The 23,480-nt window shown below is 60.3% G+C and overlaps 3 protein-coding genes across 18 annotated transcripts in view, besides 10 other annotated features; 1 reads left to right on the top strand and 2 right to left on the bottom strand.

The window, feature by feature from the left end:
• Positions 66-615: a silencer, noted in NCBI's record as "silent region_9850". NCBI's record gives its function as "represses an Ori minimal core promoter by ATAC-STARR-seq in GM12878 lymphoblastoid cells {active_cell/tissue: GM12878}" and the evidence as "EXISTENCE:reporter gene assay evidence [ECO:0000049][PMID:35858748]".
• MFSD12 (major facilitator superfamily domain containing 12) lies at positions 501-19,812 on the top strand. 7 transcript variants are annotated; one of them, XM_011527684.3, is made up of 10 exons: positions 501-981; positions 6,893-7,103; positions 9,820-9,964; positions 10,057-10,239; positions 10,540-10,632; positions 10,723-10,815; positions 11,662-11,832; positions 11,919-12,013; positions 13,148-13,278; positions 19,331-19,812. In XM_011527684.3, coding segments are annotated over exons 1-10 (1,422 nt in total). In that variant the 5' UTR covers positions 501-683; the 3' UTR covers positions 19,333-19,812. The 7 variants fall into 7 exon arrangements, with proteins under 7 accessions (XP_011525986.1, XP_047294126.1, NP_001274458.1 ...); XM_047438170.1 differs by lacking the exon at positions 19,331-19,812 and adding an exon at positions 15,110-15,392; NM_001287529.2 differs by lacking the exon at positions 19,331-19,812 and adding an exon at positions 13,355-13,888 and having other exon boundaries at positions 501-954.
• Positions 656-725: a silencer, noted in NCBI's record as "silent region_9849". NCBI's record gives its function as "represses an Ori minimal core promoter by ATAC-STARR-seq in GM12878 lymphoblastoid cells {active_cell/tissue: GM12878}" and the evidence as "EXISTENCE:reporter gene assay evidence [ECO:0000049][PMID:35858748]".
• Positions 906-1,075: a silencer, noted in NCBI's record as "silent region_9848". NCBI's record gives its function as "represses an Ori minimal core promoter by ATAC-STARR-seq in GM12878 lymphoblastoid cells {active_cell/tissue: GM12878}" and the evidence as "EXISTENCE:reporter gene assay evidence [ECO:0000049][PMID:35858748]".
• Positions 7,087-7,231: an enhancer, noted in NCBI's record as "145 bp 19:3550926 sequence used in MPRA reporter constructs". NCBI's record gives its function as "activates a minimal TATA-containing promoter with rs75555084 allelic activity by MPRAs in C283T melanocytes {active_cell/tissue: C283T}" and the evidence as "EXISTENCE:reporter gene assay evidence [ECO:0000049][PMID:36423637]".
• Position 7,159: a transcriptional cis regulatory region, noted in NCBI's record as "rs75555084 or 19:3550926 MPRA-significant variant associated with a GWAS melanoma risk locus at 19p13.3". NCBI's record gives its function as "allelic transcriptional activity by MPRAs in C283T melanocytes {active_cell/tissue: C283T}" and the evidence as "EXISTENCE:reporter gene assay evidence [ECO:0000049][PMID:36423637]".
• TEKTIP1 (tektin bundle interacting protein 1) lies at positions 14,057-18,913 on the bottom strand. Of its 3 annotated transcripts, none has more exons than NM_001135580.2 (4): positions 18,827-18,913; positions 14,614-14,852; positions 14,407-14,532; positions 14,057-14,258 (listed from the first exon to the last, which is right to left on the bottom strand). In NM_001135580.2, the coding sequence occupies exons 1-4, from the start codon at positions 18,907-18,909 to the stop codon at positions 14,077-14,079; spliced, it is 630 nt and encodes a 209-aa protein (NP_001129052.1). In that variant the 5' UTR covers positions 18,910-18,913; the 3' UTR covers positions 14,057-14,076. The 3 variants fall into 3 exon arrangements, with proteins under 3 accessions (NP_001129052.1, XP_011525898.1, XP_047293948.1); XM_011527596.4 differs by lacking the exon at positions 18,827-18,913 and adding an exon at positions 18,017-18,049; XM_047437992.1 differs by lacking the exon at positions 18,827-18,913 and having other exon boundaries at positions 14,614-15,111.
• Positions 15,030-15,174: an enhancer, noted in NCBI's record as "145 bp 19:3542983 sequence used in MPRA reporter constructs". NCBI's record gives its function as "activates a minimal TATA-containing promoter with rs12608592 allelic activity by MPRAs in C283T melanocytes {active_cell/tissue: C283T}" and the evidence as "EXISTENCE:reporter gene assay evidence [ECO:0000049][PMID:36423637]".
• Position 15,102: a transcriptional cis regulatory region, noted in NCBI's record as "rs12608592 or 19:3542983 MPRA-significant variant associated with a GWAS melanoma risk locus at 19p13.3". NCBI's record gives its function as "allelic transcriptional activity by MPRAs in C283T melanocytes {active_cell/tissue: C283T}" and the evidence as "EXISTENCE:reporter gene assay evidence [ECO:0000049][PMID:36423637]".
• Positions 17,474-17,618: an enhancer, noted in NCBI's record as "145 bp 19:3540539 sequence used in MPRA reporter constructs". NCBI's record gives its function as "activates a minimal TATA-containing promoter with rs12984831 allelic activity by MPRAs in UACC903 melanoma cells {active_cell/tissue: UACC903}" and the evidence as "EXISTENCE:reporter gene assay evidence [ECO:0000049][PMID:36423637]".
• Position 17,546: a transcriptional cis regulatory region, noted in NCBI's record as "rs12984831 or 19:3540539 MPRA-significant variant associated with a GWAS melanoma risk locus at 19p13.3". NCBI's record gives its function as "allelic transcriptional activity by MPRAs in UACC903 melanoma cells {active_cell/tissue: UACC903}" and the evidence as "EXISTENCE:reporter gene assay evidence [ECO:0000049][PMID:36423637]".
• Positions 18,076-18,928: an enhancer, noted in NCBI's record as "H3K4me1 hESC enhancer chr19:3539157-3540009 (GRCh37/hg19 assembly coordinates)". NCBI's record gives its function as "activates a minimal SCP1, AML or CMV promoter by ChIP-STARR-seq in naive H9 embryonic stem cells {active_cell/tissue: H9 hESC(naive)}" and the evidence as "EXISTENCE:reporter gene assay evidence [ECO:0000049][PMID:30033119]".
• Positions 19,753-23,480, bottom strand: part of FZR1 (fizzy and cell division cycle 20 related 1) — a 32,024-nt gene continuing 28,296 nt past the window's right edge. For 5 of the 8 annotated variants that reach the window (XM_005259573.6, NM_016263.4, XM_017026863.3 and 2 more), the window contains exon 14: positions 19,753-23,292. In XM_005259573.6, the coding sequence (XP_005259630.1) occupies positions 23,251-23,292 (42 nt within the window). In that variant the 3' untranslated portion in view covers positions 19,753-23,250. The remainder of the gene's footprint in view (positions 23,293-23,480) is intronic. The other 3 variants (NM_001136198.1, NM_001136197.1, XR_001753699.1) reach the window with 2 other exon arrangements.

The following is a 23,480-nucleotide window of genomic DNA, read 5'->3' as shown; positions in this document are numbered from 1 at the left end:
ATTACCGTTAGTAACCAATTAATTAGTGTTGTTGCGTCCTCTCCGCGCCCGATCGCGTCTCTCTAGGCCGGGGAGTCAGCGGACCCCGAGGCCAGCTCGGGCTCAGACCTCCCCCCAACCCCAAATCCAGAGCCCGTCCCACTCGCTCCACCCCGGCCCGCAGTGGGCTGTCCAGCTCCGGGTGGACTGGGGTGGTGCGGGCCTGGAGGCCGGGTCTGGGTGGGAGCCGGCGGTGCCCTCTGGTCCATTTCCTTCCCCAGTCTATGGGGGTGCCGGCCACTCCTGCGGCGCGCTCGGGGTTCGCCCTCATACCCGGCGGGCGCTAGGACCGCGTGGGCGCCCGTCGTAGAGGCGGAACGAGCCCTGCGGCCACGCCCCTCTCCTCTCTCCTTGGCGATTGGCTGCGGTTCCCCGGGGCGCGGCTCCGATTGGCTCAGGCACCGGAACCTCCCCGCCCTGCCCCGCCCGGCGCAGTCGCCCGGCTCTGGGGCCCGGCGGCTGCAGAGTCGAGCGTGGGGCGGACGCGGCGGACGTGGGTGAGGGCGCGGCCGTAAGAGAGCGGGACGCGGGGTGCCCGGCGCGTGGTGGGGGTCCCCGGCGCCTGCCCCCACGGCACCCAAGAAGGCCTGGCCAGGGTACCCTCCGCGGAGCCCGGGGGTGGGGGGCGCGGGCCCGGCGCCGCGATGGGCCCGGGACCCCCAGCGGCCGGAGCGGCGCCGTCCCCGCGGCCGCTGTCCCTGGTGGCGCGGCTGAGCTACGCCGTGGGCCACTTCCTCAACGACCTGTGCGCGTCCATGTGGTTCACCTACCTGCTGCTCTACCTGCACTCGGTGCGCGCCTACAGCTCCCGCGGCGCGGGGCTGCTGCTGCTGCTGGGCCAGGTGGCCGACGGGCTGTGCACACCGCTCGTGGGCTACGAGGCCGACCGCGCCGCCAGCTGCTGCGCCCGCTACGGCCCGCGCAAGGCCTGGCACCTGGTCGGTAAGCGTCCCGGCCCCGCCACCTGTCGGGCAGCCCCTCCGAGACTCCGCGACCCGGGCGCCTCCTCCCTCTGACTCACCACCCGCCGTCTGCCTGCCTCAGGATCGGAGTCTCCCCTCGGTCTGTCTGTCCCGTGGCCCGAGCTTCCCTGCACTGTCTGTCCACGGCCTTAACCTCCCCTATGTATCTGTCTGCCCTATGAGCTGAGTTTTCACCCCTCTGTCTGTCCCCTGGCCCGAACCTCCCCTGTCTGTCTGTCTGTGCCCATGGCCTGAGCTTCCTCCATCAGTCCCACCACCCAGCCCCCTCTCTCTGCCTGCCTGGGACCTAAGTCTCCCCTGTTTGTCTGCCCCATGAGCTGAGTTTTCACCCCTCTGGCTGTTCCGTGGCCTGAGCCTCCCCCGTCTGTCTGACTACCCAGTGGCCCCTCTGTGGTGTCACTCCTGAGCCTCCCCTGCCTGTCCCACCATCCAGCATCCCCCGTCTTTCTGCCCCATGGCCTGAGCCTCCCCCGTCTGACTGTGCTGTGCCTCCCCCATCTGTCTGACTGTGCAGTGCCTCCCCCATCTGTCCAACTGTGCAGGGCTTCTCTATCTGCCTGAGCCATGAGCCTCCCCCATCTGTCTGTTTAACTGCCCCGTATCCCCTCTGTCTGTCCCTTGGTCCAGCCTCCCCTGTCTGCCTCAGAGCTGCTGTCTGACCTGCGGGGCCCTCACCATCTGACTACATGACTTTCTAGTGGGAATGCCTTTGTTTGTCTGAGCCCCCGGGCCACCCTGAACCCTCTGGAGGGTTGGTGGTGACTGCTCAGCGCCTCCTTTGTCAGTCTGTCTAGCCTGAGCTCGTCTATTAGGGTGACCAACTGGGACAGCTATGGCTGAGGGACAGTCAGGCCCCCTAGAGCCTCCTCTCTCTCTGTGTGTTCTGCCAGGGCAACCTGGTGCGTCAGCAGTTTGAGGGTGCTGCTCCGGGAGTTGAGAGTTGGGAGCCGCCTGGGTGGGACTGGAGGGTCAGGGGTCTCTGCCCTGTTCTTGCATTGCCTCTATCTGTCTGGCCAGGGTCAGGGACCCCCTAGGTCTGGGGGAGCTGCCCTGATTAGAGAGGGCTGTTGGGAGGGCAGGAGGCTGGCGTCATGGGCTGGGTCACCCTGCCCCAGTGCCCATCGATAAGACTGCAGGGCTGCCTCCCAGCGGCCCTCCTCTCCCCTCCCGGACCCTGGGCCTGAAGATTAGCCGGCCTCCTTCCCTGCTCTTCTTGCCCTCACAGAAGTGCCGGCTGCGTCCTGGCATTTGGGACACATGTGGCATTTCAGCAGGCAGGGCCAGGAATCCTGCTCAGTTCTTGGAATTCCAGGTGGCAGGAGGGGCAGGCGGGTGCCTCCTCACCCTTGGGAACAATGACTGGGATGGGTGGTTGGACCCAGGATCTGGGTGATGACATTTTTTGCAAGAGGCAGTGGATCTCCAGTGGTCTGAGGGTGGCAGGCTCCGCAGCAGGCACAGCTTGGGGACTGGAGTTTCATGTTTCCTATGTCCAGGCTATTCCTGGGGTACCTGAGGCGGCGGCAGACAGGGAGGGGACCGGCTGTCCCTTCCTTTGTGGTTACGTTGGGATTGGTTGCTGAGCGGAGCCCAGGGCCCCAAATGCCTCTTTGATCATAATAGTTGGATAAGCTCTTTGACAGTCGCGTAAGATAATTTCTGGGCGGGCCGGGCACGGTGGCTCACCCCTGTCATCCCAGCACTTTGGGAGGCCTCCTCACCTGAGGTCAGGAGTTTGAGACCAACCTGGCCAACATGGCAAAACCCCGTCTCTACTAAAGTACAAAAATTAGCCGAGCGTGGTGGCGCACGCCTGTAATCCCAGCTACTTGGGAGGCTGAGGTGGGAGAATCGTTTGAACCCGGGAGGCAGAGGCTGTAGTCAGCCAAGATCGCGCCACTGCACTCCAGACACAGCGAGAGTCTGTCTAAAAAAACAAAAAACAACAACAACAAACCAAAACAAGAAAACAAACAGAAACAGCAACCGAAGGCTTTATGTTTTTCCAAAGCAGACCTCAGGGAACCAGGTGGTCCAACCGGACACCAAGGCGTCCACCGTCACCCCTCTTCCCCGCCTCGGGGAGGGCACCTGCCCTGGGAGCTGAGAGGTGGGGGCCACCTGGGTGGGCCTGGAGGGTCAGGAGGGTCTGTTGGGAGCAGAAGCCCAGGCAGCCGCTCTTGATGCCTGAGCAGGTGACTTGAGTGAAGGTTACCCTGGCAATGGCACCCACTTCTGTATTTCACCCCCAAGTCTGGGGCTGGTGGCTAAGGACTCACTTTGCCCTTTAACAAGTCCTGGGGAGCTCCCCCACAATCCCGAGACGACCCTCAGAATCAGACACAAACACTCCTGTGAGTGGGCAGATGGCACAAATGGGCTTCAGAAGGAAGGACATTAACTTTGAGGTTTTGACGGATGGGTAGCAGTGTGTGGAGGGGCGCATTCCAAGTAGCAGAAACAGCTGTGGAAAAGGTAGGAACAGTCCTCACTTTGAAGCTGCGGAAGCAGGAAGTGGTTCAGAATAGACGGAGCTTTTGCTGGTGCCACACATGAACTCTATCCTCACAGCAGCCTGTGAGGCAGGAACTTTCTTTCTTTTTTTTTTTTTTTTGTTTTGTTGTTGTTGAGACAGAGTCTCACTCTGTCGCTCAGGCTGGAGTGCAGTAGCGGGATCTCGGCTCACTGCAACCTTCGCCTCCTGAGTTCAAAGGATTCTCGTGCGTCAGCCTCCTGAGTAGCTGGGATTACAGGCACGTGCCACCAAAGCCGGCTAATTTTTAAATTTTTAGTAGAGGCAAGGTTTCACCATATTGTCCAGGCTGGGCTTGAACCGCTGACCTCAAGTGATCTGCCTGTCTCAGCCCCCCACAGTGCTGGGATTACAGGTGTGAGCAACCACGCCTGGCCATGGGCAGGAACTTTCACTACCCTTCTTTCTCTTCTTTTTTTAATTTTTTATTTATTTTTATTTTTTATTTTTGAGACGGAGTCTTGCTTTGTCACCCGGGCTGGAAGGCAGTGGCGTGATCTCAGCTCACTGCAACCTCAACCTCCTGGGTTTAAGTGATTCTCCTGCCTCAGCCTCCCGAGTAGCTGGGACTACAGGCTCGTGCCACCATGCCCGGCTAATTTTTGTATTTTTAGTAGAGACAGGGTTTCACCATGTTGGTCAGGCTGGTCTCGAACTCCTGACCTCAGGTGATCCATCCGCTGCAGCCTCCCAAAGTGCTGGGATTACAAGCATGAGCCACCGCACCCAGCCTCTTCTTTTCTTTTCCTTTCTTTCTCTGTTTCATTTCTTTTCATTGTTTTTTTTTTTTTTTTTTTTTTTTTGAGAGATGGAGTCTCACTGCAAGCTCTGCCTCCCGGATTCACACCATTCTCCTGCCTCAGCCTCTCGAGTAGCTGGGACTACAGGCGCCCGCCGCCACGCCCGGCTAATTTTTTTTGCATTTTTAGTAGAGACAGGGTTTCATCATGTTAGCCAGGATGGTCTCGATCTCCTGACCTCATGATCCACCCGCCTCGGTCTCCCAAAGTGCTGGGATTACAGGCGTGAGCCACCGCGCCCGGCCTTTTTTTTTTTTTCTTGACAGGGTCTCGCTCTGTCGCCCAGGCTGGAGCGCAGTGGCACGATCACGACTCACTGCAGCCTCGACCTCCTGGGTTCAAGCAGTCCTCCCACCTCAGCCTCCCAAAGTGCTGGGATTGATTACATGATCCACCACTCCTGGCCACTATCCCTGTTTTCTGAAAACTGAGGCCTAGAGAGGCACAGTCACTTGCCCGAGGTCCCCAGGCCAGGCAGCCTGGCCCCAACAATGGTTAACCCAGACTGGCCAGCAGGAACAGGGAGTCCAGCCAGGAAGGGACCTTCTCACTGGAGTCCACAGTTCATGCTCTGCCCCCGGATGACCTCCCCAAGGACCCCAGGAATCTGCGCAAACCCTCCCAGGCCCTAGTTCCAGAGAAACCAGCAGGAGAGGCTGGTTTTGGTTTCACTTCCCAATTCCAGTTCTCTGGGGGCGGGCCCAGGGTCTGGGGATGAGGTCACCTCCGGAGGGAGGAAGGAGGTCCAGCCACCAGGCTTGGTACAGGGGCCCTTCCAGGTGCCCCAGGCTGGGAGGAGAGGAGTGCAGGGCTGCAGGGAAGGAGCCTGGCTCCGACTCACTCTAGGGGCCTCAATTTTCCCATCTGGAAAATGAGGATAATGACACCCACGCTTACAGGCTGTGTCAGGGCCACTATTGTTACTCACTCAGAAGATACTGAAGTAACAGCCGGTATGGTGGCTCAAGTCTGTAATCCGAGCACTTTGGGAGGCCGAGGCAGGAGGATCACTTGAGGCTAGGAGTTCGACTTCAGCCTGGCCAACGTGGTGAAACCCCATCCCTACCAAAAATACAAACATTAGCTGGATGTGGTGGGATGTGGCGGCAGGTACCTGTAATCCCAGCTACACGGGAGGCTGAGGTGGGAGAATGGCTTGAGCTAGGGAGGCAGAGGCTGCAATGAGCTGAGATCGCACCACTGCACTCCAGCCTGGGCAACAGAGCGAGACTCTGTCTCAAAAAAAAAAAAAAAAAAAAAAAAAGGCGGGGCGCGGTGGCTCACGCCTGTAATCCCAGCACTTTGAGAGGCCGAGGCGGGTGGATCACCTGAGGTCAGGCATTGGAGACCAGCCTGGCCAACGTGGTGAAACCCTGTCTCTACTAAAAATACAAAAATTAGCTGGGTATGGTGGCATGGGCCTGTAGTCCCAGCTACTCGGGAGGCTGAGGCAGGAGAATGGCTTGAATCCAGGGGGCGGAGGTTGCAGCGAGCCGAGATCTCGCCACTGCACTCCAGCCTGGGCGACAGAGCAAGACTCTGTCTAAAAAAAAAAAAAAAATAGATATTGAAATGCCCGAGTTCCATGCTGGGTCTCCCCAGGCCCCTTGGAGGCTGCTGTCTGCAGAGGAAAGCCGGCAGGAAGCCGGCAGACAGAGAATTCCCGGGTGCTCCGAAGGGTGAGGTAGAGGCAGCAGGGGCCAGGAGAGAGGTGTTCGAGGAGGTGACATTCCCGTTGAGCCCAGAGGTGAAAAGGAGCCAGTCTTGCTAAGATGTGAGAGAGAGCTCTAGGCAGAGGCACGCCCATGCAAAGGCCCGGGGGCAGGACCGCCTGGCATGTTGAAGAGGTCCTGCAGTGAGGAGACCTGCATGGCTGGAGCAGAGAGAGAAGGGGGAGAGAGGGAAGGGCAGGGCAGGGCACGGAGGGGACAGGGCAGGTCGCAAAGGGCTCCGTGGGCTGCGGGGAGGATCTTACATTTGTTCCAGGGTATCTTAGGGGTTTTCTTCTGAGGATGTGAAGAGCCAGGCCTTGCCACCGCAGATCTCAGGTGGGGGCGGGTGCTATTTCCTGACTGTCCCTGGAGGCCAGGACGCCCCAGCATTCCAGGGAGTGGTCACCTTAGGAGCTGATGAGGATGGCGGAGCTTAAGGAGGGGTCCAGCCCAGGCCCACCTGGGCCTCCCGCTCCCCGAGGCCCTATGGGAGGCTTGATAGTGGCCGAGGGGGAGGAGCTGGGGGAGGCTGCGGCTGTAACCGGGGCACCTGTGGGGGGCAGGTTTCCGGGGGACCCCCTGCGCCTGGCTTCTTCTGACTTGCAGGCTGAGCCCAGGCACCTGGTGTCAGATTCCCCTTTTGTCACCAGGGGCCATAAGCCTGGGGGACCCCGACTGCAGACCCTCGCTCCTGCGTGACTGTGTGCATGCGGGGGGCGTCTCCATCTGTGCCTCAGTTTCCCTCTCTCCTCCCTCCATGTCCTCACCCTGGGAGCCCTGGCTGGTGCGGGACAGCCCCGCGACTGACCACTCTGCCTTCCACAGGCACCGTCTGCGTCCTGCTGTCCTTCCCCTTCATCTTCAGCCCCTGCCTGGGCTGTGGGGCGGCCACGCCCGAGTGGGCTGCCCTCCTCTACTACGGCCCGTTCATCGTGATCTTCCAGTTTGGCTGGGCCTCCACACAGATCTCCCACCTCAGCCTCATCCCGGAGCTCGTCACCAACGACCATGAGAAGGTGGAGCTCACGGCACTCAGGTGGGAGCCTGGGCACCCTCCCCCACGGGCAGGGTGGGCCCCGGCTCGGTGTATCAGTCAGTGGCACTGCATAATGAGCGGCCACAGACTCGGCAGCTCGAGACCAGGCAGTCTTTCATGTTTATTTTTTTGAAAGGGGGTCTCACTCTGTTGCCCAGGCTGGAGTGCAGTGGGGTGATCTCGGCTGACTGCAGCCTCAACCTCCTGGGCTCAAGTGATACTCTTGCCTCAGCCTCCTGAGTAGCTGGGACTACAGGAGTATGTCACTACACCCAGCTGTTTTTTAAAGTTTTTGTAGGCTGGGCATGGCTCACACCTGTAATCCCAGCACTTTGGGAGGCCGAGGTGGGCAGATCACGAGGTCAGGAGATCGAGACCATCCTCGCTAACACGTGAAACCTCGTCTCTACTAAAAATACAAAAAATTAGCCGGGCGCGGTGGTGGGCGCCTGTAGTCCCAGCTACTCGGGAGGCTGAGGCAGGAGAATGGTGTGAACCCGGGAGGTGGAGCTTGCAGTGAGCCAAGATAGCGCCACTGCACTCCAGCCTGGGCGACAGAGCGAGATTCCGTCTCAAAAAAAAAAAACAAAAAGTTTTTGTAGAGACAGGGTCTCACTATATTGCCCAGGCTGGTCTGGAACTCTTGGGCTCAAGCGATCCTCCTGCCTTGGCCTCCCAAAGTGCTGCGATTACAGGCATGAGCCACCACACTCAGCCATCACACATTTCTCCTCTCACAGTTTCTGGGGGTCAGGAGTCCAGCATGGCTGAGCTAGGGGGAGAGGGCTGTTGGGCTTCAGGGTCTGTCTTGAGCCTGCATTCAAGGGGTTGCCCAGGGCTAGCGTCTTATGGAAGGCTGGGGGCGGTCCCTCCTCTATGCTCACGTGGTTGGTGGCAGAAGTTGTAGTCTTGCACCTGTGGAGATCACGGTGGCTGCTGCTTCTGAGGCCAGCAGGGAGAATCTCTGATCCCAGGAAGCCCTAAGCCCTCTCTCCCAAAGGATTGCCTGACTTGGCCAGGCTCACACACCGTAGTCTCCCTTGACAGGATCTCGCTCTGTCAGCCAGGCTGGAGTGCAGTGGCACGATCTCGGCTAATTTTTTTTTTGTATTTTTAGTAGACACGGGGTTTCACCATGTACCATGTTGGCCAGGCTGGTCTTGAACGCCTGACCTCAGGTGATCTGCCCGCCTTGGCCTCCCAAAGTGCTGGGATTACAGGCGTGAGCCACTGTGCCTGGCTTTTTTTTTTTTTTTTTTTGAGACAAGAGTCTCACTCTGTCACCCAGGCTGGAGTGCAGTGGCGCCATCTCGGCTCACTGCAACCTCTGCCTCCTGGGTTCAAGCGGTTCTCCTGCCTCAGCCTCCCGAGTAGCTGGGACTACAGGCACCCGCCACCACCCCCGGCTAATTTTTGTATTTTTAGTAGAGATGGGATTTCACCGTCTTGGCCAGGCTGGTCTCGAACTCCTGACCTCAGTGATCTGCCTGCCTCAGCCTCCCAAAGTGCTGAGATTACAGGCGTGAGCCACCGCGCCTGGCCAGTAATCTCCCTGTGGACACACCCGAGCTGACCAAGGTCCTTGGTTATAACACACTGCGAAGTCCCTTTCCCTCTGCTATAGAATGCCACTTAGCCCTGGCTACATCCTGGGAGTAACATCCATGGTGGACTTACAGCTGCTGCTGCCACGGGGAGGGGATGGGATGGGCAGGCCTCTCTGGGGCTGCCTTAGAATTCTTTCTATTACACCTGGGTACAGCGGGTGCCCGGCTTATCCACTAACTTGCTAGAGGCGCTGGAAGAGGTTCTTCTGGTTACGAGGATGATGCATTGAGCACCTGCCGTGTGCCTGGCATAGTTATAGGCCCTTAACATGAATCTCAGCTTCTTTAATCCTCCCCGTGAGCTGGGAGGTGGGAACTCTTCTCTCCCGCGTATTTCAGAGGAGGACTCGGCCCCAGCTGGTGCCCAAAGCCAGGGTCCTCACAGCGCCTTCGTGTCGGGGGAGTCCGCTGTCTCCACATCTGCCTGTGTATCACCAGCTCCTCCCCACCCCCAGATTTGAGTTCCCCATTATGGCCATGTGACAGAGGTGCAGGCGCTAACGACACAGGTTGCCCAATGCCCAGGGCCCCTGAGGGCCCCATCTGACCGGGGCCAGACCCCAGGCACTTCCTACGTGCCATTGCTTTGCCAGCTGACCTCCTGCTGTGCTCACGTGGCCTCTGGAGGTGGCATGGTTCCCGCTTTCAGAAAGAGAGACTGATTCATGGTAGGATTCTGAGGCCCCCCGGGGGACTCTGTGCCTGGCCGGGCTGTGGGCAGGGGCTGGCCTGGATGGTTCTAGACCAGGGAGCCCTCGCCCTTTAGCCGCCCAGCATCTGGGGAAGAAGAATTCTCGAATTCTGGCTTCTGAGTCTCTGGGTTCTCAGACTTTTGGGTTGTAGCCTGGACTCCGCTTGGCCGAGTCACTGTACCCTGGTCCTGGGCACGAAGGGTGGAGCTGCAGGTCACAGCTTTCCCGCGTTAGGTAATGTGCGGGCTGGGGAAACTGAGGCCAGCACGGGCTTCCTGGAGGCCACCCAGTGTGGCAGTGGTTGGAATCACCTGTCAGTCAGGGGTTCCCCAGGCCTCTCTGACGGCGTAGCCACGTGGGGAGGAAGTGACCCAGGTTCCTGGCGTCTTGTTGAGTCCCTGCCCGCCTGCCCGCCAGGTATGCGTTCACCGTGGTGGCCAACATCACCGTCTACGGCGCCGCCTGGCTCCTGCTGCACCTGCAGGGCTCGTCGCGGGTGGAGCCCACCCAAGACATCAGCATCAGCGACCAGCTGGGGGGCCAGGACGTGCCCGTGTTCCGGGTGAGCTGGAGTCCGGGTGGGTCGCCTGAAGTCCTCGAGCCAGGGGCGGGGGCTGGGCCCGCCACCACTGACTGCTTCTGCTGCATCCCCAGAACCTGTCCCTGCTGGTGGTGGGTGTCGGCGCCGTGTTCTCACTGCTATTCCACCTGGGCACCCGGGAGAGGCGCCGGCCGCATGCGGAGGAGCCAGGCGAGCACACCCCCCTGTTGGCCCCTGCCACGGCCCAGCCCCTGCTGCTCTGGAAGCACTGGCTCCGGGAGCCGGCTTTCTACCAGGTGCGTGCTGGGGACGGTGGGGCTGGCGTGGGCCTTCTCTCCCACCCACAGGGCCTTTGCTCTGTGGGGCAGCTGCGTCCAGACGCAGAGCACACGTGGCCCCTGGTGCAGCCCACACCCAGGGCAAACGTCACTCATCAAGTGCTGCTCTCCTCTTCCTGGCCCACCCCACTGGGCAGTCACTACCAATGGATCAAATGCCAGCTGCAGGGCGCCCACCCTGGCCCCGGTGCCCCCTGCTGGTGGGAGTGGAGAAGGCCCTCCTGACCCCTGCCAGTCCCTCTGTCGGTCTGCCCACAGGTGGGCATACTGTACATGACCACCAGGCTCATCGTGAACCTGTCCCAGACCTACATGGCCATGTACCTCACCTACTCGCTCCACCTGCCCAAGGTGAGCAGATTGGGGCGGGGACGCTGGGATGGGACGGCCCCAGCCTGGCGAGCCATGACTGACACGGCATGCCTGGCTCTGCCTCCGCAGAAGTTCATCGCGACCATTCCCCTGGTGATGTACCTCAGCGGCTTCTTGTCCTCCTTCCTCATGAAGCCCATCAACAAGTGCATTGGGAGGAACGTGAGTGGGCGGGGACCGGGGACAGCTGGGGCGGAGGATGGGGTGCCCTGCAGCCGAGATCCCACCCGCTCCGGGTTCCATCCTCGGATGCTCTCAGGCCTCCGAGTTCCCGCCTTGTAGAAGCCCCAGATCTAGGCCGGGCACGGTGGCTCACGCCTGTAATCCCAGCACTTTGGGAGGCCGAGGCGGGCGGATCACGAGGTCAGGAGATCGAGACCATCCTGGCTAACACGGTGAAACCCCGTCTCTACTAAAGATACAAAAACAAAATTAGCCGGGCGTTGGTGGCGGGTGCCTGTAGTCCCAGCTATTCGGGAGGCTGAGGCAGGAGAATGGCGTGAACCCGGGAGGCGGAGCTTGCAGTGAGATGAGATCACACCACTGCACTCCAGCCTGGGCGACACAGCGAGACTCTTGTCTCCAGAAAAAAAAAGCCCCAGATCTGGGAACAAGGAATTCTAGGATCCTGGCTTCTCTGTGTCTCGAGTTTATACACTCGCAGCCATGGAGCTCTGGCGCTTTCTGTCCACCCTGTGCAGCTACTGAGGGCTTGAAATGTGGCCGTGGGGACTGAGCCGAGTCCGTCGTTTGCTTTCGTTGTAACTGACCTGCGCTCAGGCAGAATAGCCACACGTCTCCAGCCGCTACGGCGTGGACAGAGAGCACAGCTCTGGCATGGAGGATCTGCAGAGCCTCGGTGTTGTGTCCAGGGCCAGAGCCAGGGCTCCTTAGGGACCATCCAGCTCATGCCTTGTTTGCTGGGGTTGGGGGTAGGGGTGGCGGATTGAAGCGCCAGGCTTGGGGGCACCCAGTGGTGTGGGCCTGACCCCGGGGCTGTCCCTGCAGATGACCTACTTCTCAGGCCTCCTGGTGATCCTGGCCTTTGCCGCCTGGGTGGCGCTGGCGGAGGGACTGGGTGTGGCCGTGTACGCAGCGGCTGTGCTGCTGGGTGCTGGCTGTGCCACCATCCTCGTCACCTCGCTGGCCATGACGGCCGACCTCATCGGTCCCCACACGGTAGGGCTGGTAGCCAGGCTGGGGTGGGGGAGGCCGGGTCCTAGATCTCGGGGTGCACGCTGACCACCTCGCCTGTGTCTCCACAGAACAGCGGAGCGTTCGTGTACGGCTCCATGAGCTTCTTGGATAAGGTGGCCAATGGGCTGGCAGTCATGGCCATCCAGAGCCTGCACCCTTGCCCGTGAGTGCCGCTGTTCGTTCATTCATTCTTTTGTTCAGTAAGAGGGGATTAAGCGCCTGCTGTGTGTCCAGCAGTGTTCTGGGTCTGGGCATCCAGCTGTGGACCAAAGACACCTGCCCCAATGGGAGTCATAGGCAGGGGAGACCTTTCCTTTCTTCCACTGAGCACTTCGTTTATTCACTCAACAAACGTTGGGTCCATGTGTGCAGTGCTGAAGACACCGTACAGAAATATATCGGGGGTGGGCCCAGCTGGAAGGGAGCCCCGAGTCCGTGTAACCCAGACCCACAGAACTCAGGGTTCAGACATGGATGGTTCTAGACCACAGCATCACAGCATTCACGCCTGTAGAGGCCCAGGGCCTGGAAACCACAGCCGGTCTGGGCCTGGGGCAGAGCCAGCCGTGTTAATAGTCACAGAGGTGAACATGTGGTTGGTACCGGCGTGGGTGGTGTGTAAAGGTGAACGCTCAGAGAAACCTGGACAGCCAGGGCAGGAAGCCAGGGAGGGCTTCTTGGAGGAGGTGACGTGGCCCTGACACCTGCAGGATGTCAGAGCATTCCAGGCCAATGGGGAGGGACAAGTAGTGCCAAAGCCCTGGGGCAGGACCACACCTGGCATGTTGTGTTGGAAGAACAGGGAGGAGGCCTGTGTGGCTGGAGTAGAGGGAGGAGGGGAGGGCAGGTCGTGCAGGGCCTGGTGGGCCATGGGGAGGACTTAGGGGATTTGACCCTGAGGACAGTGGGACTCACAGAGAGCTGTGGGCAGAAGAGGGACAGGCCCTGACCCAGGCGCTCACAGACGCCCTCTGGTGGTTGCTGCCGGGAGGACAGCTGCTGGGGGAGAAGTTGCAGCCTGGGACCGGGGCGGGTGCAGGCGGGCCATGCTGGGGCTGGACCATGAGGAGACAGGGAAGGGGAGACATGGTGGATTTGGCATGGATGCTGGAAGCAGGGCCCACAGGACTGGCCGAGCTGTTGGGTGTGGGACAGGAGGGAGGGAGTGGCAGGGCCCCCAGCTCCTGGATTGGACAGGACGGAGCCGCTGTCGGGGGTGAGGGGAGGCACAGGTTCAGCTTGGGTGGCGGGGGGGTGGTACCCGCGGTGCCTACTCATCCCCCGCCTCCTCCCACAGCTCAGAGCTCTGCTGCAGGGCCTGCGTGAGCTTTTACCACTGGGCGATGGTGGCTGTGACGGGCGGCGTGGGCGTGGCCGCTGCCCTGTGTCTCTGTAGCCTCCTGCTGTGGCCGACCCGCCTGCGACGCTGTGAGTCCTGGCCCACCCCTCCCTCCCCAGACACTGACCCACACTCTCTAATGCCATTTCCACCCCTCCCTTGCAGGGGACCGTGATGCCCGGCCCTGACTCCTGACAGCCTCCTGCACCTGTGCAAGGGAACTGTGGGGACGCACGAGGATGCCCCCCAGGGCCTTGGGGAAAAGCCCCCACTGCCCCTCACTCTTCTCTGGACCCCCACCCTCCATCCTCACCCAGCTCCCGGGGGTGGGGTCGGGTGAGGGCAGCAGGGATGCCCGCCAGGGACTTGCAAGGACCCCCTGGGTTTTGAGGGTGTCCCATTCTCAACTCTAATCCATCCCAGCCCTCTGGAGGATTTGGGGTGCCCCTCTCGGCAGGGAACAGGAAGTAGGAATCCCAGAAGGGTCTGGGGGAACCCTAACCCTGAGCTCAGTCCAGTTCACCCCTCACCTCCAGCCTGGGGGTCTCCAGACACTGCCAGGGCCCCCTCAGGACGGCTGGAGCCTGGAGGAGACAGCCACGGGGTGGTGGGCTGGGCCTGGACCCCACCGTGGTGGGCAGCAGGGCTGCCCGGCAGGCTTGGTGGACTCTGCTGGCAGCAAATAAAGAGATGACGGCAGCCTGGCTCCTGTCTGCCTGCGGGGGGGCTCTGGGCAGGGGTAGCCTGGGCATCTCAGCCCTGCCCTGGTTGTGGGCGGCCAGCGAGCCCAGTGTCTGCCTCTGTCCCGAGCCTCTGGTCCCCTGGGACTAGGTTAGTGCCCCCTCATCTGGGTGCAGAGACAGTGGGTGCATCCTGGTAGCATGCCTTTATCGGGGAGTGGGTGTGAGGGAAGGCGGGGACCGCTGGCAGGTGGAGGGGCAGTATGGTTCCAGGACCCACTCCCGGTAGTTCTGGGTGGTGCCGGGCGGGCGCTGGGGTGCCGACAGGGAGGGCACGTAGTCTGATGCCCTCCACAGTGGCTCCACCCCGTACCGGTTCCTGTTGAGCACTGTAGGTGGGACTCGGGTCACCATGTGCCCCCACCTCCTCGCCGTTGGCCAGCAAGGGGCTCCTGGATCGCCCCGGGCAGTTTCACCCTGGCCTAGGTGGCCTTGTCCCCCTGGCCTCCCAAGGACCCACCCTGCACCTAGCCTCACCGTATTCCTTGCCCCGGATTGGCCTGTCTTTCCACAGCGCGCTCCCCCACCGGGTGCTGGGGGCCTGGTACTGGGCAGGGACGATGGGGTCATGCCAGGCGGTCTCCCGCAGGTGCTGGGTGTAGGCTGCGGTGGGGCGGGGGCTGGCGGTCATTCCTGTCCCCCTCTGGCAGGCCCGCTGCCCAGGGCGGGGGGGGGGGCACTCACCCGATGGCATGCTGCACTCACGGTGTTGGTAGCAGCTGTGCCAGCGGTTGTAGGCCTCGCGGAAGGGGCTGGCCGGGGCCCGTGGCAGGTTGTACCAGGCTTCCCAGGCGTCCGAGTTGGTCAGGCCTGTGTACCACAGCTGGCCGGCTGCGTCCCGTCCCATGGGCGTGTACTTCCAGCGTGTGGCCTGCCTGATGGCTGGTGGCCAGCGGGAACCCTCCAGGGACAGGTAGTCATCGCTGAGGGTGGGCAGGGGGCAGAGACTGAGCCCATGTCTACAGCGAGTGCTTTGACCCCTTTGCGATGTCTGCCAGGGTGGATGATGTAGAGGCCTGGCCCACGGCGTGGGGTCTCCCTCCCTCGCCACTTGGAGTCTGTCCTTCAGCCCTGTACCCCTCACCCCAGAGTGGGTGCTTGAGGAGAGAGGCTGACTCCCCCTCTCCCCACACATCGCACCCCAAGCACCCAAGTCAGCACTAAACCTTTCTGTTCTCAGCTTTTCTTGCCTGGAGAAGAGGGAGGGGAGAGGACAAGGGCCCTGGCTACTCCTGGATTCCTACAGTCCTTGTCCAGCCTCCAAGACCCACAAGTCCCTTCCTCTGGGAAGCCCCCCTGGCCTGGAGGTGCACCAGGAAGAAGTGGTCTGGGGCTGGCACTAAGCCATGGCCCAGGGAAGACTGGGGGACCCACTAGGCCAGGTGTGTGGCTCACGCTTGTAAACCCAGCACTTTGGGAGGCTGAGGCAGGTGGATCACTTGAGGTCAGGAGTTCGAGACCAGCCTGGCCAGCATGGTAAAACCCCATCTCTACTAAAAATACGAAAATTAAGCCAGGCATGGTGTGGGGGCGGGGGGCACCTGTAATCCCAGCTACTCAGGAGGCTGAGGCAGGAGAATCGCTTGAACCCAGGAAGTGGAGTTTGCAGTAAGCTGAGATCGTGCCCTTGCACTCCAGCCTGGGCAACAGAGTGAGACTCTGTCTCAAAAACAAAAAGACAAGAGACTCAAAGATGTTTTATGCTTTGACCTTGCTCTTGGGAATATGTCCCAAGGAAGTCATCCCAGAAAACAAGGTTGCTGGCCCCAAGACAGTCTAGCAGGGTTCAAAACAATCTCATCTGCCCTGCACGGAAAGCCCGGTTCCAGCTCTCATGGCAGGAACTCTGCTTAAATCCTGACTAGACTCCCAGGTGCCCACAGAACATGGGAGTAGCCTGGTCAGTTACAGAGCCTGTTTGAGGGACCCCACATAGACTCGGCTTTTCCACTAGAAAGGCAATTTCAAGATCAGGAGAACCTCACCCTTTTGAAATGAATTGCAAGACACATGTAGCTTTTAAAACACAATTAAAACAGCACAAAATTGTCTGGGCGCAGTGGCTCATGCCTGTAATCCCAGCACTTTGGGAGGCCAAGGTGGGTAGATCACCTGAGGTCAGGAGTTCGAGACCAGCCTGACCAACATGGTGAAACCCCGTCTCTACTAAAAATACAAAAATTAGTCAGGTGTGGTGATGGACACCTGTGGTCCCAGCTACTCGGGAAGCTGAGGCAGGAGAATTAGCTTGAACCCGGGAGGCGGAGGTTGCAGTGAGCCGAGATTGCGTCACTGCACTCCAGCCTGGGTGAGAGAGCGAGACTCTGTCTCAACACAAACAAAACAGCACAGAATAATATTCAATGAGAAATGAGCCCCTCACCCCTGCTGTCGGCCCCGTACCCACCTGCCACTCACTACTTTCTGGTGTTTCCTCCCAGGAGCAGGTGGTACATGCACTCACCCCCGTTATTACACACTTGCGGGAGCCCATTCACTGCATCTCCATTTTTTTAAAAAATAGAAATAGGGTCTTGCACTGGGTGCGGTGGCTCATGCCTGTAATCCCAGCACTGTGGGAGGCCGAGGCAGGCGGATCATGAGGTCAGGAGTTTGAGACCAGCCTGGCCAACATGGTGAAACACTGTCTCTACTAAAAATACAAAAATTAGCCGGGCGTGGTGGTGGGTGCCTGTAATCCCAGCTACTCAGGAGGCTGAGGCAGGAGAATCGCTAGAACCCAGGAGGCAGAGGTTGCAGTGAGCTGAGATCATTCCACTGCACTCCAGCCTGGGCAACCGAGCGAGACCCTCTTTTTTTTTTTGAGACAGTCTTGCTTTGTCACCTAGGCTGGAATGCAGTGGCACGATTTCGGCTCACTGCAGCCTTGACCTCCTAGGCTCAAGCGATCCTCCTACCTCAGCCTCCCAAGTAGCTGGCATTACAGGCACGTGCCGCCATGCCTGGTTGATTTTTTTTTTTTTTTTTTGAGACAGAGTCTTGCTCTGTCACCCAGGCTGGAGTGCAGTGGCCTGATCTCGGCTCACTGCAACCTCTGCCTCCCAGGTTCAAGCGATTCTCCTGCCTCAGCCTCCCGAGTAGCTGGGATTGCAGGCGCCCGCCACCACAACCAGCTAATTTTTGTACTTTTAGTACAGATGGGGTTTCACTACCTTGGCCAGGTTGGTCTTGATCTCCTGACCTCGTGATCCACCCGCCTCGGCCTCCCAAAATGTGGGGATTACAGGCGTGAGCCACTGCGCCTGGATTTTTTTTTTTTTTTTTTGAGATGGAGTTTCGCTCTGGGCTGAAGTCCAGTGGCACGATCTCGGCTCACTGCAACCTCTGCCTCCGAGGTTCAAGTGATTCTCCTGCCTCAGCCTCCCAAGTAGCTGGGATTACAGGCATGAGCCACCATTCCCGGCTAATTTTGTATTTTTAGTAGAGACGGGGTTTCACCATGTTGGTCAGGCTGGTCTCGAACTCCTGACTTCAGGTGATCCGCCTGCCTCGGCCTCCGAAAGTGCTGGAATTACAGGCGTGAGCCACTGCGCCTGGCTGCCTGGCTGATTTTTAAATTTTTTATAGAGATGGGGTCTCACAGCTAGGCGCGGTGCCTCACGCCTGTAATCCCAGCACTTTGGGAGGCCAAGGAGGGCAGATCATGAGGTCAGGAGATCGAGACCATCCTGGCCAACATGGTGAAACCCCGTCTCTACTAAAAATACAAAAATTAGCTGGGCATGGTAGCGCATGCCTGTAATCCCAGCTACTTGGGAGGCTGAGGCAGGAGAATCGCTCGAACCAGGGAGTTGGAGGTTGCAGTGAGCCAAGATTGCACCATTGCGTTCCAGTCTTGCGACAAGAGTGAGACTCCGTCCAAAAAAAAAAACAAAAATTAGCTGGGCATGTGGCACAAACCTGTAGTCCTAGCTACTCAGAAGGCTTGAGATGGAAGAATCCTAGAACCTGGGAGGCAGAAGTTGCAGTGAGCCAAGATTGCGCCACTGCACCCTAGCCTGGGCAACAGTATGAGACTGTCTCAAAAAAAAAAAAAAAAAAAAAAAAGAAAAGAGATGGGTCTCACTATGTTGCTCAGGCTGGTCTTGAACTCCTGGGCTCAAGTGATCCTCCTGTCTTAGCCTTCCAAAGTGCTGGGATTACAGGTGTGGGCCACCATGCCCAGCCACCATCTTGGTTTAATTTCTTTCCTTGGAAATGGAGCAAAGGGCTTTCACTCTTCTTTTTCATGGCTGCATAGTATTCCATAATTGTTTAAACAATTGATAATAGACACTGTATCGGGGTGACTGGTATACCCCCAAAATCACATCTGCCCAGAGCCTCAGGACATGGCCTTGTTTGGAAATGGTTTTAGCAGATGCAGCTAAGATGAGGTCACCCCGTGTTAGGATGGCCCCGAATCCAGTGCCTGGCACCCTTATAAGGAGAGGGAAACTTGGACGCAGACAGGAAGGCCGGGTGAAGACAGAAGCAGAGACCGGGGGCCAAGGAGTGCCTGGGGTTGCCCAGAGCCACCACGGGCTGCAAGAGGTGTGGGACAGACTCTCTCAGCCACAGAAGGGCCCAGCCCCGCACAGGCCTGGATTTCAGAGGGCGAACATTTCTGTGGCCGAAGCTCCCAGTGCGTTTGCAGTCCTTGGAGACGGCCGCAGACACATTTGTTCTTGGCCTGTCTCCAGGTCTGTAGCCCCCACAGTGAGCGGCCACTGGCCGGAGGGGAACAGGAAGAGCTGGAGGGGACGTCACACACATGAGCCTTTTAGGAATAACGAGTGACACGTGCAAGACCCCAAACCAAACACCATGTAACCTGACACCCAGGGAGGGAGGGAGGGAGGGGCTGGGAGGGGCTCACCTGTAGGGAGGGGCTCACCTGTACAGCGGTGCTGGGAAGCTGGCCTCGAGGGTCCCCGAGGGGATACAGGGCCGTGCAGCCTCTTGCCTGAGGGTTTGCATGTCTGCCTGGATCCCCCGGGCTCCTGCCAGAAGGCCTCTGAGGCCACCGTTGACAGCATAAAGGCCACCCAGTGTCTCGGCAACCACGCTGACCACTCCCTCCTCCCAGCTGCGGGGTGAGGTGGCCTCGAGGGAAGGGCTGGAGAGTCGTTCTGAGTATTTAACAACTGGGGGTGACACAGTGTGGGTGGGCAAGGCCAGGGCCACTGCCAGGTGGGGTCCGTGGCCCTGAGCCCCCAGCTCTATGCACCCCCCACCTGGGGTCTGGCTTCTCCATCTCCACACCCCCTTGAGGGGCTTCTGTCTCCCCCTGCCCCTTCGATCGCAGGAGGCAGTGCCTGGCCGGGGTCGCAGGCACCTGTCACCCCAGCTCCTCACTCCTCACCCACTCACATCCAGTCCGTTTGTAAAATACACCCAGGATGAGACCTGCACGCAGTGGCTCACAGCAGCACGATTTGTGACAGCCCGAGGCGGAGAACACCGAACACCCAGTGAAGGTGAGGGGATCAGCACGGCGCCGCCACCGTGCTGGAACGAGACTCAGCCACAAGGAGGTGCGAAGCTCTGACCCAGGCCACAGTGCGGATGCACCTTGAGGATGTCACGCTCAGTGAGAGACACCAGACACAGAAGGGTACGCTGTGATCCCACTTCTATGAAATGTCCAGGACAGACCAATCCACAGAATCAGGGAGAGGATTCGTGGGTGCCGGGACTGGGGAGGGGGACCTGGGGGTGACTAGGTGACATAATGGGGACAGGGCTGCCTTCTGGGTGATGAGAATGTTCTGGAATCAGATGGGATGGCTGCACGGCGTGGTGAAGGTACTGAACGCCACCTCACTGTAAGACGGTAGATTTTGTATTTTACCACAATAAACAAAACAAAACAAAACCAAACCAAACCCAACAAACATCCAGAAACCTCCTGCCCTGCCCTGCCCCTCCTCTGGCTGGGCCCGGCCTTGGGTGGGGGCGGAGCCTGCACCCTGGTCTCCGCTTCCCCTGCCCTTGTCAGGTCCCCACAGATACGACCCTGCCTTTCCCATCTGGACACGCACCCAGGAGCTCCACTCCCTCGGCGTAGGTGCCCAAGTCCTCCCTGAGGCCCACAAGGCCCTGCACGCCCTGCCCTCCTCTCCTCACTCTGTTCCTCCCGCATACCAGGTGCCGTCCTGCCCCAGGGCCTTTGCATGGCTGTGCCCTTTGCCTCTCACCCAGGCGTCCCTGCCTTCTCCAGCCCTGGCTGAAATGCCAGGCTTGTGGTGAGCCTCTGATCCAAGGCCGCCCTTCCCCAAGGCCCCCTCCCCACCCTTGTGACGCCACCTCCTCACTTCCTCATAAGCTTCTCTGTCTCTGGGCTGTGTCCCCCATGCCAGCTCCACATGGGCCAGGTCTGCTCGGTTTCATCATCTCCAATGCCCAGGATGGGGCCTGCCCCAGCTCCTTCACCCTCTTCTCAGGCACCGCGCAAGAGCGAGCCTCAAAACCACCTGGGGCCTCCTGGCTGCCAGGACCCCCACAGCCTCCCCTGCAGCCCCCGGCCCCCCGGCCTCCTGGCTCCCTCAGCCACTTCCCAGCCATTCCTCCTGTTCTCTCCGCCCAGACCCCGGGGAGGCACCAGCACCCCCTGGGCCAGGCTCCTGCCTCCTGCACCTCTCATCGCAGAACCTATGGCAGCCTGAGTTTTTCAATTCTCTTTCCCTCTCACTGCACCAGCTACATTCCAGGATCAACAGAAAAGTTGCAGCCCGCCCTGCGGGGCCCTTGGTCAGCCTCCCCCTCCATCTGGGCGTCTCCCAACCACTGCCAGGGTCGCCCCAGGAAGCGATGGCCCCACTGGCCTTCGTCTGCCTGTCGGGTGGAGCTGACAGCAGAGGCACCTGCCCCAGCGCTGCTGAGTGGCCCCCGTGCCCCGCAAAGCCTGACGTACACTCCCCTGGGGCCCCTCCACCTCCTCTCAGCTGTCCTGGGCCATGGGGAACCAATTCCCCCATTTCTACACGAGCCCTGGCCCATCATCATGGGACCCTCCCACCACGGCCTTCACCCCCCTTGCTCTGTCCCTCCTGGCCCCATCTGGCCAGCCCTGGGGGTGAACTCAGCCCAGCAGTGCCCACCCTCCCTCCCTGATGGTGTCAACCGAGCACCTCCTCCCTGGAACAGGGCCGTCCAGCTGGAGCGCAGGGACTTGCCTGGAGTCCAGTCCTTGGCCCTGCAGGATTGTGGCCGGCGCCCTGGCAGACGGGCCTGGGAGGCGTCTCTGCGGCCTTCGAGGGCTGAGCTCCCCATCTGTGAAATGCAGGCCTGGGAAGCCCCTCAGAAGCTGCTTCTGCAGCTCCAGGGCCAGATGGGGACTCTAGGGCAGGACCGTGTGACCCCACCCGAGCCGGGGACCTAGAGCCAGCCAGTCCCGGCCACACATGAATCCACGTGTTTAATGACAGCGTCACTGCATTACATGAGAAACAAGGCTGGTCTGTCCTGGGAGCTCCCCCACCCCCTAGCATGGGCAGAACCAGCCCCAACACAAACCTCACGCCGTCCGCCTGGCCCTGCGGCGGTTCCCAGTCCCAGGAGGAGCCTCTGAAGGCCACTGTGGGTTGTGCACTGAGCCAGCCAAGCCCTGACGCCCACAGCGACAAGGCGGCTCTTTGGCAACTGCGGGCAGGGGCGGGCATGGGCGAAGGCAGGGTTGGTTTTCTTATTTAAAAACCTTGAAACAGTAAGACCGTGACCACTGGAAATCCACACTGCCACGTGCACCAGCACCCCCTGCACAGGCGCACAGTGAGGGGTCCGCGCCCCACCCAGACAGAGGTGGGGAGAGTCTCTCCAGTGAATGTGGAAGATCGACCCGCTTGAAATGACGGGGCTTTAAAACCAGGACCTCATCCCCCAGGAGCAGTGGGTGGGTCCTGGCCCCTCCCCGTCTAGCCTCAAACATTTCCAGGACTAGTCAACAAAAACACAAAACAAATCCAAAGAAAAGTCACAAATACATATGTACACATGCACGCCAACCCCACTGGGGACAGACACCAGGATGTTGGGATGTGGGGAGTGGGGAGTGGGGGTTCCCAAGCACAGCAGGGTGGTGGGTGGGACCCTCCAACCCCAGCCCGCCCCACCCTCTCCACGTCCCCACCGATGAAATGGGAAGGGGTGGTGGGGGGGTGAGGGGGCAGTGCTCAGCTCAGGCCCCACTCCCCTGCCTTGCCTCCCTCCCTGCCTGCTGTGCAGCCTGGGAGCATGAGACAGAGAAGCAGAGGAGCCTGGGAAGCTTCTCGAAGGATGGAGGGCGCCCACCTCCTGGACCCCTTGGGTCTCCTTGGCTTCCCCACGGCTGTTGGCGCTGGTGGACAGGACAGGTGAAGACACAGGCAGCCTGGGGGCGGGGGCCACACCGCTGCTGGCCTCCACAGGACCCAGCCACCCAGCAGGCATGGGGGACGCAAGTCTTGCGCAGGGAAGGAGGACGCTGGCCCTGTGAGGGCACGTGTTGGCGAATGCACGAAGACGTGGCATCTGTTGTGCTCCTCTCCAGCCAGGGCAGTGAGCAGGTCCGGGTTCAGTTCTCCTGGGGTGATAAGTCCAGAGCAGACATCCTCCTCCAGTGTGAGGGTGACGCTTGGCCAGGATGCACAGGCCCATCTGAAGCCCACTGACCGCCGGGCGATGGCCATGACACAGATGCTTCCAGAGAGACTGCTGCTTCGAGCAGTGACAGCAGAGGTGGCTGCAAGGATGCCGTGAAGCCCAGGTGGGGACTGTCTCTTGGATCCACAGGCTGGCTCCGCCAGTGGCCCCGAGCCACCTGCCCAGGCCTACATGCCTTGGTCTGGCCTTGGGGCTGGTCTTGGGTTTGACATGGTGGGGTGCAGCCATGAATGGGCAACCGGGGTCTCAGGCCCCCACCAATCAGCCCTGGCGTCTGGTGGTCTGTTCTGTGCAGACGTGGGCAGTTCCAGGAAGAGCATGCGGCTCCGGTGGGCAGGTGATGAACAGACGGAGGCAGTGAGGGTCCCAGGGGGCATCCGTCGCTCTGAGTACAGACGGTCTGAGCCGGGACCGTCCAATGTGGTTCTCGCCCTTTGGGAAGGGAGACAGAGCCCCTGCTGCTGAGGGTCCCCGACCACGTGCCCACCCCAGATACTGGTGGACATGGTTCACAATCAGGCATTTAATGAGACTCCAGGATCCTCCAGGCCCAGCTCCCCGCCCGCCCAGCCGCCTTCCTCGGGGGACAAGCGCTGGGAAGGCAGAGTCCATGCAAGCTGAGGAGCTGGGGTCCTCCGACTCTGGACAGCTGGTGTGGCACGGTCCTGCCCGGCAGGTTTACCGGATCCTGGTGAAGAGGTTGAGCACAGACACAGACTCCTGCAGACACATGGGGATGGCAGATGCGCTGAGCCGCAGGCCCAGGGAGGAAGCTGCCTGGAGGGTCCCCAAGGCTTTGGGGCTTGGTCCTGAGGGGCTGGGAGGTGCCAGTTCAGCCTCGGCCTGCCACACTGCCCCGACACATGACCCAGAATTTGAGGTGAGGGAAGCTCGGAAGTGGGGGAACC

The sequence above is a fragment of the Homo sapiens genome, chromosome 19 (genome assembly GCF_000001405.40).
Source record: "Homo sapiens chromosome 19, GRCh38.p14 Primary Assembly".
Lineage (NCBI taxonomy): Eukaryota > Metazoa > Chordata > Mammalia > Primates > Hominidae > Homo > Homo sapiens.
This window is presented reverse-complemented; position numbering and strand designations above follow the sequence as displayed.

What these genes read in the sequence shown, in the direction of transcription:
- TEKTIP1 (XM_047437992.1), bottom strand. Translation starts at nt 15,064, where the DNA reads ATGTGTGGGGAGAGGGGGAGTCAGCCTCTCTCCTCAAGCACCCACTCT. An exon ending in TGAGTGCAGCATGCCATCGG is followed by an intron (nt 14,533 to 14,613) that starts GTGAGTGCCCCC and finishes GCCCCACCGCAG; the next exon opens with CCTACACCCAGCACCTGCGG. An exon ending in AATCCGGGGCAAGGAATACG is followed by an intron (nt 14,259 to 14,406) that starts GTGAGGCTAGGT and finishes TCCCACCTACAG; the next exon opens with TGCTCAACAGGAACCGGTAC.
- MFSD12 (XM_047438170.1), top strand. Translation starts at nt 684, where the DNA reads ATGGGCCCGGGACCCCCAGCGGCCGGAGCGGCGCCGTCCCCGCGGCCG. An exon ending in CAAGGCCTGGCACCTGGTCG is followed by an intron (nt 982 to 6,892) that starts GTAAGCGTCCCG and finishes TGCCTTCCACAG; the next exon opens with GCACCGTCTGCGTCCTGCTG. An exon ending in ACCTCATCGGTCCCCACACG is followed by an intron (nt 11,833 to 11,918) that starts GTAGGGCTGGTA and finishes GTGTCTCCACAG; the next exon opens with AACAGCGGAGCGTTCGTGTA.